This window comes from Homo sapiens, chromosome 4 (genome assembly GCF_000001405.40).
Source record: "Homo sapiens chromosome 4, GRCh38.p14 Primary Assembly".
Taxonomy (NCBI): Eukaryota; Metazoa; Chordata; class Mammalia; order Primates; family Hominidae; genus Homo; species Homo sapiens.
Window position 1 is genome coordinate 57,190,026 of NC_000004.12, and position 18,246 is coordinate 57,208,271.

At 42.9% G+C, this 18,246-nt stretch overlaps 1 long non-coding RNA gene across 1 annotated transcript in view, besides 2 other annotated features; it reads left to right on the forward strand.

Moving 5' to 3' along the window:
- IGFBP7-AS1 (IGFBP7 antisense RNA 1) overlaps nucleotides 1–15,274 on the forward strand; it is a 95,538-nt gene extending 80,264 nt beyond the window's left edge. The window contains exons 3-5 of the long non-coding RNA NR_034081.1: nucleotides 11,108–11,795; nucleotides 14,453–14,568; nucleotides 15,049–15,274. This is a non-coding gene — a long non-coding RNA (IGFBP7 antisense RNA 1). The remainder of the gene's footprint in view (nucleotides 1–11,107; nucleotides 11,796–14,452; nucleotides 14,569–15,048) is intronic.
- Nucleotides 4,038–4,539: an enhancer, noted in NCBI's record as "H3K4me1 hESC enhancer chr4:58060229-58060730 (GRCh37/hg19 assembly coordinates)". NCBI's record gives its function as "activates a minimal SCP1, AML or CMV promoter by ChIP-STARR-seq in naive H9 embryonic stem cells {active_cell/tissue: H9 hESC(naive)}" and the evidence as "EXISTENCE:reporter gene assay evidence [ECO:0000049][PMID:30033119]".
- Nucleotides 4,540–5,039: an enhancer, noted in NCBI's record as "H3K4me1 hESC enhancer chr4:58060731-58061230 (GRCh37/hg19 assembly coordinates)". NCBI's record gives its function as "activates a minimal SCP1, AML or CMV promoter by ChIP-STARR-seq in naive H9 embryonic stem cells {active_cell/tissue: H9 hESC(naive)}" and the evidence as "EXISTENCE:reporter gene assay evidence [ECO:0000049][PMID:30033119]".
- Nucleotides 15,275–18,246: the final 2,972 nt, after the last annotated feature.

An 18,246-nucleotide genomic window follows, 5' to 3' on the forward strand; every position in this document is an offset into this window, starting at 1 on the left:
GACAAAGTGAGACCCTGTCTCAAAAAAATATTTATATATCCATATGTATCTCCTTGGGGTGTGTGTGTGTAGTGAGACACAATATGGCATAGTGCCTAAAAGCATATACTCTGAAGCCAATCCTATGTTTGAATCTTTTTTCTGCTAAATACTGTGTGTCCCTGAGAAAGTTGCTTACCCATTCTGTTCTTCATATTACGGGGTTAACAACAGCACTAAATCATAGGGTTGTTGTAGATATAAAAGCGATAATAATTGTAAAGGGTTTAGTTCCTGTGCCTTGTAGCTACCAGGATAATAGGCCTAATAGACAGCACCCTATGGAAACAGCTTTCCATTTTAACAAGGGACTTTGGTAAACACATGCGCTGAGTACAACACTCTTGGAAGATCAGATATTTGATGGCATTCAGATGACAGCATGTGAGCAGATGCCTATTCTGTCTGGGTGTTAGGGGACAGAGCACTAGGTGACTTGGCTGCTGTCTCTGATCTTAAAAATTGCTCAGACCCTGGCAATTGAGGATAAGACAATAATAGCAATGTTGTATTCAGGAGCGTTGCTTTAAATAATCCTTCTCCCTAATAGCTTTGCCCCTGGCGTGTGACAGGTGTTTACATTATTAAGTAAAAGCATTTAAACAGCGACCTCCTTGGTATAAGGGTGAAGGAGATTAAAATCCAAGCAGTGCTCCAGCTATTTAAATCAATGAGACTTGTCAGATCTGTAACACATGAGCTACTTAGAGGGCGCAGGCACCTATTGTTTTGGAGCTTCGACTAATATCTCAATATGCTCCCTCCCTCCAAGTCTAGCCAGGCCCTGGGATGCTCATTAAAGGCTGGTCTGACCACGGCCTCTTTCCCTGTGGAAGCAGCATTAACTAACTCTTGGCTAGATGCGTGGCAAATAGTTATGCTATTAGGGAGGATCAGAGCTTGAGTTGATTCCTGCTTAGAGAAATGACCTTGCACGGAATTCCAGCGGTTAAGTTCCTTAGCTAACCAGAAGCAGGGACCATAAACATTGTCCCCTTCTTCCGCTAGGGGGTGCTAAACCAGGCTGCTTGGCTTTGCCCACAGCCATCCTTTCTTGAGTTGTGTTTTCCCAGTCTTTAGCTATGACATTGACAACTTCAGGTCCACCTGCTGCATTGAGGAACCAAGTTTCTGAAACTTAAATCTCTCTCTTTTTTAAAGCTTCATGCTCTCATCATGAACAAGAAACCTCTCTCTTCCTTAGTAATCAAACTTAGATCCTTCATTTGTGTCAACGGAAGGGAAGTCTCCACGTAAGAAGAGCAGCTGGACCTTAAAGATCCAACTCTTATTCCTCAAGATTTATTGTCCCCTTGGAGGTCTCTAGCTAATTTCTGCAGGTCCTACAAGGCTGGCTTCAGAGGGAGCTGATTCATTATTAATTCTCCAGTTCTAAGCAGGCGAACAAGGTGGGGGACACTTGAACCTTTTAATTCCTTGGATTCACAGCTGAGCCAGGCTGGCCACAAAAGGAACTGCACACAGGCAGGGTTACAAGGCAAAGTTTACTTTTCTTCAATTTATGGCCTCATATGTCTGCCTGTCTGACTCATGGAATGTTGCCAGGTGGAGGGTTCCTGATGCCAAGAGACCGCTTAAGCCTCATCTGTGGAAGTGCTGGTTCAGCAGAGGGTGAAGCACTTTCTTCCTGGGTGGTCTCAAGTTCTCTTTTCCTGGTGATTGACTTTGGGAAGTTCTTCCTGTCACAGGAAAGCCCTACTTCTATCCATAGCAGCAGGTGAGGCCACAGCCTTTAGTCTCTACATGACTTCTTTGTCAAAATGCAACATCAAAGGGTTCACAAGGAAAAGAGACCCATGCAAATAATCCCTGGCTGCTCACAGTGTCAGGACCAGCAGCACAAGTATCCCCTGGGAGCCTATTAGAAATGCAGAATCTCAGGCCCCCAGCCCTTTTGAAACAGAATTTGCATTTTAACAAGCTGCCTAGATAGTTTGTGTGCATGCTGCAGCTTGGGAAATAGTGACAGAGCAGAGAGACAGCCTTTTGTCTACACTGTCTCTTTCCACCACAAGAAACAACTGCATTAAAGCTTGGTTCAAGGAAAAGTCCTGTGATGTCCCTGTCCTTTGGAGCTGAGGAATTAACATGGGCTCTGTGGGGTTTTTCTGGAGGATGGCAGAATTGTTGGGGATGCTTGAACTTCTGAAAATGTTTGAAGGGAGAAGGAATGTAACGAACCTTCTGCTCAGAGCAAAGCAATGAGACCGCATCATGGGTTAGAGACCACTGCACAAGTTGCTTTGCTTATTTCTATAATTGTGGTCAGTACCTCTGCCATCTGCCATCTTCCTACAGCAGTGTGTAGGCCTCTAGGAGGCTTTAGCAAGATCAGCACCCAGGTGGAGGCCTCTTAGAAGAAAAAACCCTGTCAAAGTGCAGGGGACTCCCAGACAATGCAACATTCATTTAGGCCAATCAATTCTGTCAAAAATTCATTCGATGAAAATAGTACCAAGTGGGTACTCAACTGCTTAGCCAATTTAGTCTCCACAGCAACTCTGAGGCTACAGGTAAATACAGTCTCAGGCACGGAAGGAAATCTGGTATTTATTCAGAGAGGCAGTAGACATCCCTCTGTCCCTGACTTGCTAGCTATGTGACCCAAGGCAAGTTACTTACCTTCCCCAACCAGTAGCTTCTCCATTTTAAAATGGGTTATCAGAAGGTATTGATCTTCTGGGTGTGTTGTAAATGCTAAGCTTACTATTCATTCTAGGCCAGCCAGGCATGGTGGCTCATGCCTGTAATCCCAGCACTTTGGGAGGCCCAAGCGAGGGGATTGCTTGAGCCCTGGAGTTTGAGACCAGCCTAGGAAACATAGTGAGACCCAGTCCCAGCAAAAAATAAAAAAAAATTAGCTGAGTGTGGTGGTGCATGCTTGTAGTCACAGCTACTTAGGAGGATGAAATAGGAGAATCACTTGAGCCCAAGAGCTCAAGGCTGCAGTAAGCCATGATTGTGCTATTTCACTCCAGCCTGAGTGACAGAGCAAGACTCTGTTTAAAAAAAAAAAAGCACCCTGTAATGCTATTACTCACACGTAAAGTCTTCTCTATAGGAGGTAAGAATGATATTTCAGGAGTGTAAAGAATCTTGATGTCACCTTATGGAAAGGGGATGAAAAAGAAGATGAAAAAGGCTTGTTTTCATTTTGCCAGAGTCATGGATTCCAGTTCCAGGTCTGTTTTGCATCACCATAGTCCCAAACAAGTGTAACATCCAGAGCCCAGGAGGAATTCTGGATGAAATATCAGCCAGGAGCAGGAGTGTGACAGCTGTAGGTCACTTGGGCCATAAAGTTAGTTAATGGGGAAGACAGATGAATGAGTGTATTGTGGCAACATATCAGAAGGTCTGAGGCATAAATAGTGTTGGAAAATAATAAGACAGTTGGTTCTTGAGGATCAACATTGCAGGGAAGGAGAAATGCACAACAAAAGACCATGTTGTGTTTTTGGATGGTGGCCGGGGATGCACATTCACTGCCCCTCCCCTCTTCAACCCCACTCTCCACATCCCGTGACCTGGTGGGATGCCAGTGGTCATGAGATCCCATCACATACATGAGTTTCAAGAGTCACTAACAAGCTTGTAAAGAACAGGTACTTTCTAAGGAATATTCACTCTTGCAGCTGTATTCCTAGGGCTTAAATAGCACACTGTTTTCCACTGACAAATGATTTCGGGTAGGGTGATCTCATGAACTTGTACTAATGGCAGACACATTTGAATTTCTTTTTTATTCTGAAAGTTAACTGCTGAAAGCAAATGTGAAAAAAAAATTATCTCCCTCTGTTTTATCTCTGGGAGAAGATAAAAATACGAGGTGTTTTAATTTGGCAGTGATCTGGGCGCCTTCCGCTGGCCTGTTTTTCTTTTGCGAAGAGCTCCCACTTTCAGGACTGCCGTTTCTTTGATCTTATATTCTGTCTGTGTTCAGGTACCCCTTTGTGCCTACCTGAATCGTGTGTAACAAATCATCTTAATTACTTCAGGCCTGGCTTCCTCCTCCAGTTCTCATTTTCTGAAATTCCTGCGATGGTTACCAAATAAATCAGTGTGGGGCTCCAGCCCTTGGAAACAGCACGGAGGCACCAGCAGCAGCCAGAGGAATTTCAAAGTTAGTTAAAAGGCACAGGAGGAGTGAGGGAATTGATTGAGAACCTCCCTACCCACCATGATTTTCAGCCTGGAGAGTTAGTGCTGCCTGTACTCCAATTCCATGTGCTTTGCGGGGCTCAGCCCTCACACTTTTCCCCGTAGAAGAGAGAATAATTAATGCCGTGACCCCTTGGCGTGGTAGCTAGAGCCCTGCTGTCATCAGCAGTGCCCCAAACGCAGTAGGAACACGTACCGTATTTCAAAGCCCAGGCAGGCAGAGAAGGGGGAAGGAACTGGTGGCGCGCTGTGACCTGCGGGAGCTCCCCAGCGCAGCCAGCAGGAGGCCCAAGCTAGGCGGAGAGAGGGTCGTGGGGAAGCGGGCCGCTCCCGGGACTCGTCACTGGGTTGGAGCTGGCCCGCTTGAGTGGCTCCAGTTCCAGGAAGGCCGGGTGGCGTGGGGCTGTGTTTTTTTTTTTTTTTTTTTTTTTGAGACGGAGTCTCGCTCTGTCGCCCAGGCCGGACTGCGGACTGCAGTGGCGCAATCTCGGCTCACTGCAAGCTCCGCTTCCCGGGTTCACGCCATTCTCCTGCCTCAGCCTCCCGAGTAGCTGGGACTACAGGCGCCCGCCACCGCGCCCGGCTAATTTTTTGTATTTTTAGTAGAGACGGGGTTTCACCTTGTTAGCCAGGATGGTCTCGATCTCCTGACCTCATGATCCACCCGCCTCGGCCTCCCAAAGTGCTGGGATTACAGGCGTGAGCCACCGCGCCCGGCCGGGGCTGTGTTTTAAGTGGCCGTTTGTAAGAAGAACCTCTGGCGGAGAGGTGCTGAGGCAGGCTGGGCTGTGATCCTGCACGCCAGGCGGCCTAAGGGGAGGTAATTGGGAACCGCGAGCTGACACTGCGGAAAAACCAAACACCGCATATTCTCACTCATAGGTGGGAATTGAACAATGAGAACACATGGACACAGGAAGGGGAACATCACACTCTGGGGACTGTTGTGGGGTGGGGGGAGGGGGGAGGGATAGATTTAGGAGATATACCTAATGTTAAATGACGAGTTAATGGGTGCAGCACACCAGCTAGCACATGTATACATATGTAACTAACATGCACATTGTGCACATGTACCCTAAAACTTAAAGTATAATAATAATAATAATAATAAAAGAAATTGGTATTTACTAAGAAAAAAAGTGAGAGTTCTGTGTAGGCCTTTGAAAAACACAAATCTCTTACTTGGGGAGACATTCCAGTTTAAGTATTATATTTGACAAAGTCCTAAATTATGTTTAAACTATGGTTATGAATTTTACTAGGAAAGGAAGAATTTTTATAGCAAACAAATTACAGGAATTTCAAAGACCAAAAAGAAAAAAAAGAAAATGTAAGCCGCGAAGCCGCATCAACGCCTTCCTGACAGCGGTGTCTGTTAGTCCACGGCGTCCCCTCCTAAGGGGAGCTGCGAAAGACCCATTCCGGAGGCATTTCACGGGGCCCCGTAACACCCGGGCGAGTGAGCTACTGAGAACTGCATGGCTCCTTCTGGGGCCAGGCGGTCCTAGGAGAGCCGGCTGGGAGGCGGATTGCTTGGACGTCCCCCGCCCGCCCCCGCAACTCTGCGTGCGGCGACGTTGGGAGGTCCCATTAGAAGCTCCTTGGGCGGGATCTGTCCACCATGCCGCGGCGCGGAGTGGGAGAGGTTTCGGTCTCTGCCAAGGGAAGTTGCTGTTGAGTGCATCGCCGTGAACACGACGCAGCACATCCTACAGCCCCTGTGGATATGTGGATGCTGTGGGGGCCTGTTGGGTCCGATAGAAGTTTCAAAATCAAAATTTTTCACCATCCTCGTTGGGTGATGGTTTGTAGAATATTTTTGAGGGAGTCTTGTTTGAGGCGGACAGACTCACTCATCTGGTACACTCTTTTTCGAGAACATGGTGATAAAATAGGTTGGCTCTAACGAGAAGGTGTCATTCCGCCACTCCCTTTCCCAAGAGGGCTTCGAGGGACACTCAAGTGACCAGGATGTGGCTTATCCTGTGATAGCCATCTGAGAACGTTGTTCTCTGTTCTTTACTTGCTTCTAGTCAGAAAACATGGCCTGTGTTAGGCACCCTAGGGGATAAAGTGAATTAGACCTGGACCTGACTCCAGTTTTTTCTTTTAAAACTCACTCGTTTTTTCTTCAAAAAATAACTCCCCCGGTGTTTCTAATGTACAGCTGTTTTTTGTTGGGAATTACTACATTAAATTATCTCTAAGACTCTTCTCATTTCAGATATTTTTTGGTTTCCTAATTGTCTAAAATTTTTAATTATTTTTATTTTTATTTTTTATTTTTTTGCAGACGTGAGGCCTCCCTATGTCGCCCAGGCTAGTCTCGAACTCCTGGGCTTAAGCGATCCTGCCACTTCAGCTTCCCAAAGTGTTGGGATTACAGGCCCGAGTCACTGTGCCAGCTTCCCCTAGTTCTTGAGCTCTTCTAGGGCCACTAGATTCTCTTTCACCAGCATGAAGTAGGATCATTTTAGTTAGGGTCAAATTATAACCTTAAATCCCAAGTGACACTGTTCTTTTGTGACCACTAACCCCTCAAAAGATTTTTTTTTTTCTGATTTCAAAACTTCTCCTCCTAAATCATCCTGCAAATTTTACTGAATCTCTACTGCATGCCAGAGGCCCCATTCTAGGCATTGGGGAAAAATACAGTGGTGCAGACAAGGAGCCTGTTCTCATGGAGCTTACATTCTAGAATCGGATCCAGATCGTTATGAATTTCCCCTTTATTTTGTTTTAGTCTCTTTCTTAAACTTTCAACTGTATTCTTCTGGTTACTCAATCCCAGTTCATCCTAGGGCAGAAACATAAATTAAGTCCACTTTTATACTTGGTATTACGCACTGAATGTTTTTGTCTCTTTCAAATTCATATGTTGAAATCGAATCCCTAATGTGATGGTATTTGGAGGTGAGGCCTTTGGGAGGTAATTAGGTCATGAGGAAAGAACCCTCATGAATGGAATTAGTGCCTTTTAGAAAGAGGCAGGAGAGCTAGCTCATTTGCTTGCCACCTTGGGAGGATACAACACGAAGTTGGCAGTTTGCAACCTGGAAGAGAGTCCTCGCCAGCACCTGACCATGCTGGCACCCTGATCGCTGACTTTCAGCCTCCAGAAATATGGGAAATTTCTGTTCTTTATAAGTCACCCAGTCTATACTACTTTATTATAGCAGCTGGAACTAAGGCACTTGTTTATCCTTCATCTGTAGGAAAATGCTAAATCAGATAATGGCAACCACTGTGAACTATATTATCTCTAGGGTATTATGGGGTCTCCATGGCAGGTGAGAGAAATATCTTTTTATAACTAAAAATGTTGAGCACTCTAACCATTTGGATGCATATTTTTTACTCTCTGTATTTAAAAGTTAAGTCTCATTTTCTACTTGTAGTTGACATCTGTTGTTATCATTTACTTCTCTGTTACATGCAGGGAGGATACATTCCCTAGTCTTCCATTTTTGTGTGTAGGGACTTTTTCAGAAAACACTCCTAGCTCCTTGGTTTCCTGTATCCCCCTTTTCCCTTCCCCTCAAGGGAGGAAGCGTGAGCTACTTGATGGGTGAGTTTGGGTGCAGTGGCTGAGCATGTGACTCTCAGCCCCTTTCTATTTTCTCTTTGTCACCTACAAGTGTGCAAACAGCTTTCTATGCTCTTCCATGCCATACATGACAGGAGCAGGCCCCCATGGGAGACTGCATGTCCGTGATGGGGCAGGCCCATCTAATTCAGGAAGCAAGCTCATTTGGTTAACAGACCTAAAGCCATGTTGTAAGGCTGACATTTTAGGGCTTTTCTACTTGGCTCCTGGGTCTTTCTCTCAACTGGCTCCAAACTAAGGTGGGGCATTGAGCTTTCTCAAACCCCAACAGTACCCATATCTCAATTCCCTAGAGAACCACCTTCTCCAGCTCATAGTAAGTTTGAATTAAGTGAAACTGACTCTACACATGAGACCCACAATTAGCTCCCCTTGGCTACAAGATTTGTTTAAGGATGAACATAGGGCCCAGTCAGATCTAATGAATCACAGTGATGTTTTCCTCGTTGAGGAACTCTTAATTTTATCTGCTGGACCTAAAGGAGGGTGTAGGGATTACAGCCATTGCTGCCATCCCATTACAACATGAAGCCAAGAGATGTAGAAAAATGCTCCTGATGCCATTGGTTGAGTTCAGGTTTCAGCCACATCTGAAATGTATTCTACCCCTGGACTTTTCATCTTAAGTGAAACAATAAGTTCCCTTTGTGCTTAAGCTAGTTTGGGTCCGTTTCCTACTGCTTTCAATGGTAAATGGATCATTCTTTATATTATTTTCATATTGTTAGTTTTAATTGATTTTAGATCACCACAGATCACCTCAATTACTCACGTTAGATCCCAGGAGCTAGAAGCGATTTTAGAAAGTGTTAATAGCAGGAGGATACTTAGGTTTTAATGTTGAGATGTTAATTATTTTAGGCACCTTTTATTACCTATTTACTTTGTCTATTTATTTGTTATTTTTTGGTAAACAAATCTGATGGGGTACTTGACTATAGTAAGTCTTTAATCAAACTTTAACAATGCAATCAGTTCATTTTTTCCTTTTGATTAACTGGAGAAGAGCAACTCTTGGTCTTTAAAGTCATAGTGATCATTATAAATATCCTCAAGGAAACAACAAACTCTTGAGGAAAGTTATTTCAGTTACATCCCAACATAAGAGACTGGAAATTTTTTACCAAGAATTCTGGTAGAGGTGTAATATAACCAGGAGGGTGTTGTGGTTTGGATGGACAATGAGAAGAGAGAAGGGCCTTCTGGGAATGGGGAAGAAAATCAGTGGAGTTAAGAGTGAGGCACATTCATAGCTGCTGAGGTGGAGATGGCAAGCTGTCCAAAAAAAAAAAAAAAAAATGTGAGCTTTCCCTTTCATTTTTCATAGCATTGCTGCTGGGAGGTGGCTGCTCATCCAGGGACTATATTTTTCAACACTCTTTGCATCTAGATATGGTCATGTGACTTGTTCTCACCAGTGAAATGTGAGTGGAAGCTACTTCTATGCCAAGGCTTTTAAAAAGTAGCCTACTTTCCTGGTACGTTTCCTCCTTTCATCCCTACATTGTCCTTCTAGTGGTTAGTAGGGGCATAAACTCGAAGCTTGGCTTTCTGAATCACTGAATGAGAGAAAACTTGCTTTGATTTTTTTTTTTTTTTTCAAGAGACAGGTTCTTGCTGTGTCACCCAGGTTGGAATGCAGTGGGGTGACCGTAGCTTACTGCAGCCTCGTACTCCTGGGCTCAAGTGATCCTTCTGCCTAGGCCTCCCAAAGGTGCTAGGATTACAGGCATGAGCTATCACGCCCAGACTGGACTATTTTGTGAAAGGGAAATAAAGTTCTATTGTGTTTGGCCACTGTATTAGGCTGTTCTTACATTGCCATAAAGAAATACCTGAGACTGGGTAATTTATAAGAAAAGAGATTTAATTGGCTCATGGTTCTGCAGGCTGTACAGGAAGTATGACACTGGCATCTGCTTCTGGGGAGGCCTCAGGAAGCTTTCCCTTGTGGCAAAAGGTGAAGCAGGAGTAGGCACTTCACATAGAGAAAGCAGGAGCAAGCCAGAAAGAGAGAGAGGCAGGGGGAGATGCCACACACTTTTAAACAACCAGATCTCTTGAAAACTCACTCACTATCGCACGGACAGCACTAAGCCATGAGGGATCCACCCCCATGATCCAAACACCTCCCACCAGGCCCCAACGCTAGCAGTGGGGATTACATTTCAACATGAGATTTGGGCAGGGACAAATATCCAAACAATATCGGTCAGTGTGCATTTACAGATATATTTGATACAAAAAGATCTCAGTGCTTCTCAAAGTGCGGTTTCCAGACCAGGAACATCAGCCTCGCTGGAGACTTGTTAGACATGAAAATTCTCAGGCCCCACTCTTGACCTACTGAATTAGAATCTCGGATCCAGAGATCTGTGTATCTGACAAGCCCTCCAGGTGGTCCTAATGCACACTCAAGTTTGAGGACCACTGCCTTGTGCCGTCCCTACCAACTTCATCACCGCTCTAACTGATCAGTAGACATGGGTTGTTTCTCTCCTCAGCTTTGCCTTTTCTGGATTAAACTCTCAAAGTGTCTAAAGTTTCTGAGCTTCATTAGCAATGGTGCTGAAAGTTAAGGATAATGTTGAAAAATCTTGTGCATGAGGGAAGACATTTGGTGAGTTTGAAGTTCTGATGAATTTTGAGAAAAAGAAACATCCTGAAAGCTTAAGATAGCTTAAAAACAACTTTTGTTCAGTTCTAAATATTAGCACTTTTTATAAAAGGGCATATATCCTACCTAGAACAGGGGTCACAACCCAGATGCCCCCCAGGTAATCTAATCCAGGGGAGTGGGCCAAGTGGAGGGCAGCGAACAGTATGAAGCAACAGCTGATTGTTAAGAGTATGGGCCCAGTGACTTCAGGTCTAAACATTATTAAAAAGAACTGCAGATTTGCATTTTCATTTTACATCTTCTGGTTTGTAAATGTTAACTCACATTACAAAAAATCCAAATCCAAGAAACAAAACCAAAAATTTTGTATGGGTTGAACATGCCTGAGTGTTTAATTTGGCCCCTGGGCTGCCAGTTTTACAACCTTTGTCTGGAAGTACCAGGGAAGCAGTCAGGTTGCTAATGTCTCCTCTTACTCATTAGGAGGCAAAATAACTTTTACACAATCATGAGCTCCAAAAGGGAGACGAATAAGAGCTGTACAAAGTAGTTGCCAAGGTAACATCTTGCTGATCAGAAAGGGGCGACAATTGGGTTTTATGTAGACGCAGTGGGAGAATGAAACATAATCTTTCTCTGTCTTCTTTCTGTTTAAGATCAGTGTGGAAATGGATGTGGACGCGGTGCTGCTGCCTGAGATTAGCAGGAAGCAATTCTTTTCCCATTTGGAGAGACCCCGGTGAGACCTGATCAACTAGCAACATGCGGAAGTCACACCATTAAGTCTTCCAATTTGCTAGCAGCAAATCAATGAACTCTGATAGCTGCTGCCCTAAGCTAGCATCCAGGGAACTGTGGACAAGCTATTTGATACCTGAATTTTAGTGAAGGAAAGTTAAATTTTTTCTTAAAGCAGGGTGGGAGTGGGGTTGTGTGGGGAAGATTATATTAAGCAGTGAGAGAAGACAGATGGAGTTTTGTAGAAAGAGAGCTGGTTGTTTTAAATTGTATCTTAAATTTATTGTAGAGCTATTGGTAATTAGTGTTTTGTTGTTGTGTGTTTATACCAACCAATTAATAAGAAAGGCTTTTATTTTTATTTCATCAGTTGGAGCTGAACTTTATTTTTTATTATAAATATAAGGCATTATTCTAGGGCCTGGCAAACATAGGCAGCCACTTTTTTTTTCTGGGGAAGATTATACCTTGGTATGTTTTCACCACTGTGAGATGAAAATTTGAGAACAGTGAGAGACAGATGCTTGCCTGAGGAGTTTTATTTTCCCTTTAATCCTTATCAAATATCCAGATATTACCTATATTGCCTTGATCTGCTGTCTGAAGGTGGGTTTCTTTGATTGTTTGAAGAGTTCTGGGCACTAGAGGTGCTTACTTTGTGACGGGAGCAAATAACAAGGTGTTGCCCATGACATGGTCAAGCCTCTTCTTCAATTAGCCACCTATCTTGGGCATGTTTTCATAGAGATATATCTCATCCCTTTTAATAACTGCAGAATCTTGGACATTTAGAGGTCTCCAAATATTGGTTGTCATTTATGGTGTATCGTGTTTTTGTTATTATAATAACGTTGCAATAAATACCCTAGCAACCTATTTTTGCTTACAAGTAGAGTATTTTCGAAGAACAAATTCCTTCATGTGAAACTGACGGGTCAAAATATAAAAGGATTAAAGTTTCAATAGTTAGTTAATTGCCTTACAATGGAATTACAACAATTTATACTTCCACCAGTAATTCATGAACTCTGCCTTACCACATAATATTTCTAATCTTTCCCAATCTGATATGGAGAAACATGTTTTATTATTCTATTTTTTTTTCACTAAAAGAGAGACTTTGAACACCCCTCCATATGTTTCAAAAACACTTGTAGACCAGGTGTGGTGGCTCACTCCTGTAATTCCAGCACTTTGGGAAGTGAGAAGATTGCTTGAGCCCAGGAGTTCGAGACCAACTTAGGCAACAAATCTAGACAAGGGAGACCTTGTCTCTACGAAAAAATGAAAACATTAACTGGGCATGGTGGTGTGTGCTGTGGTGCTAGCTGCTCAGGAGGCTGAAGATGGGAGGACTGCTTGAGCCTGGGAAGTTGAGGCTGCAGTGAGCTGTGTGATGGCACCACTGCACTCCAGCCTGGGCAACAGAGTGAGACCCTGTCTCAAAACAAAACAAAACAATACAAAACAAAACTTTTTTTTTTCAGTGAATGTTTCTTTATAGATTTCAACTTCTAAAAATTGTTGGCACTTTTTTTGATTGACTGAAGAGCTCATTATATATTAAGCAATGTAGACTTTTTTTTTTTTTTTTTGAGACAGGGTCTCGCTCCGTCGCCCAGGCTGGAGTGCATTGGTGCGATCTGGGCTCACTGCAACCTCTGTCTCCCAGGTTCAAGCAATTCTCCCCGCTCAGCCTCCTGAGTACCTGGGATTGCAGGCACCTACCATCATGCCCGGCTAATTTTTGTATTTTTGTAGAGATAGGGTTTTACCATGTTGTTCAGGCTGGTCTTGAACTCCTGATCTCAGATGATCTACCCGCCACGGCTTCCCAAAGTGCTGGGATTACAGGTGTGAGCCGCCGCGCTTGGCCCAATTTAGACTTTTTAAACCAACTTTTGAAGGTTGGTTTTTAAAAAATAAATGACTGGATCATGTTCTAACTACTCATAGTCTCAGCCAAACACAATTGCGGAAGGCCTAGCCAAAGGCTCTTTGCTCAGTGAAAGTCCCATGAATCTCAGGCACAGAGGATAGTCTGGAAAGACCTAACCTGCACATGCAAATCTATTAAGAAAGATGAAGTCTTAGGCTTATATGGAGCTAAATAATTGCATGTTTAATGCAATGCCAGGGTACAGGTAATGGTGATTGGAGTTGGAGGGGTGATGTGTGTGGTGGGTGAGGAAGTCAGGGCTGAGTCCTAGGTGAGATCTATAAGAGTGATGTTTATTTATGCATCTGAGGGCTGGGACTCTCATGACAGGATTTATTTTCATTCTCTTTCAAGGAGAGCCATGCTGCCTTGCTGCTTCTTGCTCGTGTACACAGAGCACTTGGTGTCTTGCGAATCCCCTTTGACGCCGGTGCCTTTCCAGGCCAGTGCTTTGCTTGTGTTCAGAGGATGCATGCTCAGGCCCTACCAGACTATCTTAGGGATGAGGGGCAAATTTTGTTTCCAATGCTCTGTGTGGGCCCTCCATGGCATTTTCTTCATTTTGGGTTCCATCCTGGCCTAAAGCTTCCCATTAAAGCTAATGGCCATTGGAGTTAACCCAAATTTTCTCCTTTGGTATTTATAAAAAGCAACACTGAAAAACCTTGAAATTAACTAACAATAAAAAAACCATTGATCGGTTCTTTCCTGGAGATGGTTCTTTCTTCTCAAATAGGCCACTTTGCAGACTGGAAATCACCCCAATCCTCAAATAGCCTAATATTTTTCACATGTGATTCCAGCAAATTGCTGTTTGCATTAACACCTTGGTGGGGACTCACTTAAGAGCTAGATTTGTTAGTGTATTTACTGACATTTTCACATGATGTTTTCAGCTGCCTGAATAATTGTAATATTCACCAGAAAAAAATCAAAGTAATGAAAGGTGCCTACAATTATTCATATCTCAACATTGTAAGCCTTAATTTCCTGCCTGAAGTGTGGTAAATTACTCATTTTTAAAGTCATCTCTAGCCACTGAGAGTTTATGGTGATGTATATAGATGTTTTGTAGATTCCAAAAAAAATCAATGACTATGAATATCACAGACTGTCAAAACAGCTGGTGTGATTATAAAATAATGAGATCAACTAAAGACATCAGCTCTCAGACATCCAAATTGTAAGAGGAAAATGAAGACGAGGAAGGGGAAAGTGAATTGCTTAATGTCTTGTAGGTACCAAATAATAGAGTCAGTATCTGCCACTGCCATGCTGAAGATTTTGCACTGTTACTTACACAGATTCATTCCCCTTTTTGCAGGCTTTGTTGGGCCAGGAGATGGTTTTGCAGCAGCAGAAGACTATGAACTGGGCTTTGGGAGATAGGATCTCTGGTTGTATTCTGGCTATCCACACTCTGAAAGAGGACCGTGACAGGTATTGTCATTATTGGTGGCTGAGTTTCTAGGTTAGCCAACCTATGGCAGATTGGGAAGACTTTATAATGCGAATAAACAGAAGAAAGTTTACTTGATCAAAAAAGATTTTTTCTCCTGGTGGAAACTGCAATTATTAGGGCAACTCTTTAAGTGTCCATCAATATTAGGATGCATTTTAACAGGTTAAGTACTCTTCTAACTGGGATGAATAGGGCATTGACAGGAAAATTAACACACAAGTTCTTATATCCTCCTTCCCTTATATCTGGTCGCATAACCTAATGTGAATTTTTTATGCCTTTAAGTGCTGATATTATGGAAAAACCTTCTAAAACTGGATAAATATCATTTTCCAAGACTCAGATCAAATATCACATCTTTCTCTGATTTTCTTGATCCTTCCTGCCAAAAAGAAATAGCACCATATATGCATTAGTATAATCTATTTGTAATTAACATAAAATTTCTCATTTTACAGAGAATTTGAGTATCCTACCAATATACCTACAAAAGGATGAAAGAAGATTTGGAGTCAAGGGAAAACAAGGGCAATAAAATAGAAGCTTACCACCTGCTCTCATACAGTTGCTAGAAGAGGACTGCATATTTGGTTCTAAGTTTCTGGAAGATAAAGCCAAAATAGAAACACAACTCATTATAAAATTTTGGTGTATCCATAAAATAAAAACAAATGACCTGTTTGAGAAAACTCTTTCTGAGTTTGAGCTCTAAAAGGAACTTCTCTATGGAATCCTTAGAATATGAGAAGGCTGTGATATAGGGGAGAAACCCCTTGACATTCCTATATTGGGTTTAGGTCTAATTTCACTCAGTAGTTTTTAAATGTTACTCCTTGTAGACAGATGATGAGACGCCAAAGTACAGCTGAGTGAAAGCGGTTCCTTTGAAAACTAAAGGCTGTAAAAACAAGGCTGTGGATCATGTTGTTTCAGTTCTTTATAGATTTTTTAAACTGAATTTTGCATCTGTGTACATGAAGAATAAATTGTAGAATATCTAAGGAAATGGATGGGCTGCTTATCTTTTAGAACCTCCATAAATTATTTATTGTAAGTATGTTTGATAAGGATTGTACAGCTGAGAGTTCAAGGTTGCATTTTTTTCCCCAGCAAGAACCAAAAGTGCAGATAACATGCAGCCAATTAAGGACAAATCTGTATGGTTTGTCAATCAATCTGTCAGGATGTCCCTGAATTGTAGCACTTATCACTTGGTATTATAGACATCTGTGTCCCTGGCATAACTGCATCCTCTTCAAGGGCAGGAATTGCTTCTTTTCCATTTTTGCACTCTAGCATCCAGCATTATGTTTGAGACCTAGCATCTATATGAGAGACTTTGTTGAACGGAATCAATTGAAAGGCTTCCCATTATCATGCAGTACTACTTGACAAAGATCAGAACCCTGAGCAATCAAGGGCAGGAAACATAGGCTAGCTGAGCTTTGAAGGAAGTGAAAAGAAAAAGAGGCAGCAAAGATGGGAACATGGAGGACAGTCTGAGAAAACAAGCTCAGGGTTGAAGGGGGTGTTCCAGTGAAGGGGTGATGAGTGGGACCTCACACATGGAGCAGATAACATTGGTGCATCAGTTGATTTAAATGAGCAGAATGGAAAGTGTCTAAAAGAGAGATGTGGAAATGAGTAGAAACATCCCTTTCCTGTTGGGCCAGCTATTGTCTATGGTTAGTCCTTTTCCCATCCTTATTTCCTCTCCTCTGAATTGCAAGTTGCTGGAAACATGAGAAGTGCATTCCTTGCTCCCTTGGTTACTGGGCTTCAGTTAGCATTTGCCAATGAGGGTGAGCACTCATGGGAGACTGGAAAGTGGTAGAAAGGGAAAGCCATTCAGCTGGCTGTGACAGTGGCAGCAGCGGGCAGTACCGTGGGCTCCAACAGCATTGGTGGTGGCTCCAGCATCATCACTGGGAGCTTGGGCTCCTGGGTTCCTGCTCAGCAGCTATGGTCAGTACCTTCTGAGATGGCCTCCTCTGATCCTCACCTCTTGGTATTCATGGCCTTGTGAAATCCCCTTTGCTTGAGTAACTTGCTGCCAACCAATAGAATATGGCAATGTTGAGGGTTGCTACCTTTCTGACTAGGTTGCAAATGATTGTGACTTCTGTCTTGCTGGCAGGCTCTCTCTATTTGCCTTTTGGTTTGTGTGCTCTGAGGATGCAAACTGCCATGTTCGTGAGACCTGCATGGCGAGGAATTGAGGGCAGACTCTGTCCAACAGCCAGTGAGAAACTGAGGTCCAACAGCCTACACGGAGCTGAATCTTACCAATAACTACATGAACTTGAAAGTGTATCCTTCCCTTCAGATGAGTGTAGCCTGAGTGACACCTTAACTGAAGCCTATGAGAGGCCCTGAAGCAGAGGAAGGACCCAGCTAGCTCACACCTAGATTTCTGATGCATAGAAACTGTGAGATAGCATGTGTTATTTTAAGCCAGTTTTGAGATGATTTGTTATACAATAGCAATAGATAACAAATATGATGGCAGAGCTCTGTTCCAACAGCAGTAGCAAGCGTGTGCTTGCCGACTCTGGATCACTCCACATTCACCTCTTTGCTTCTACAGCTATGGGACAATAGCAGCAGCGTCCTACAGTTGCCAATTTCTAGGTAATGCCATTTTCCACTTGACCTGTGTTTTCAAAACCTTTGTCACCATTTTCCTATATTAAATTCCTTCATAATAACAGAAGAGTGGCTAACATATGCACACAACTATTTTTCTTGATAGGGAGATAAAGAGAGCATTGCTGTATATTAAATGTAGTTATGTCTTTTTAGATGTTTAAGAAAATGAAATGCACCTTTTTTCAAGTGAATAAATGTTTGCCTCTCTGTAGTTCTTGGTTTTTGGGAGAAGGTCAACTTCAAAAGATAGAGTCATTGGCACCTTCTTTCTGTAGTGTGCTTGACTGTATATCCCTGCCCACCCACAGGCAGCAAAGGCAATGCATGAGGGATTTTGAAGGACACACAGTAGCTGCTTCTGTTTTCATGTGGGAGTCCAAGGAAGTATAAATGCTGCATGCTCCCTGTAACTAGAATAAAATATTATGGTGTGTGTATAAGGGCAAACTCCTAACTCAGCAGGTGAACAACCATATCGACTTCATTCCCCCTGGAGACTGAAATTAGAAAGAAACCTACATATCAGGCCACAGCAGCCCTTGATGAAGCTCAAAAGAGAGGTGGCAAACTCACAGCTACACAGCAAAAACCAAGTCAGAGGCAGCAAAAGCTGTAGTTTGAGAACAAAGGGAAAGAAAAAGACTAGTCAAAGAGGCCATATCTACCCACCCACAGAAAACCCAGAGAAGAAAATAAGTTACATTTCTCCCACTGGAAGGCTTGGGGGAGGAGACATTCAGGAAAGCCACAGGGGCAGAAAATTAGATAGTTTATCTGAAAAAGGAAAAATGAACTAAAGTGTGCTTTTGATAGATGGCTGGAAGTGAGCACAAAGGCAAAACACCAACATACACTTGGCGTCTGAAGAATGTCTTTTATCCAAAGATCTTAGAGCAGTTTGAGTGTATTAATTTACTTGTGAGACAGTTAAATTATTATTCGTTCATTTTTATGTGGCATTTTATTCTAAAATTTGCTAAGGATTTTATAACTCAAGTACATTGGTT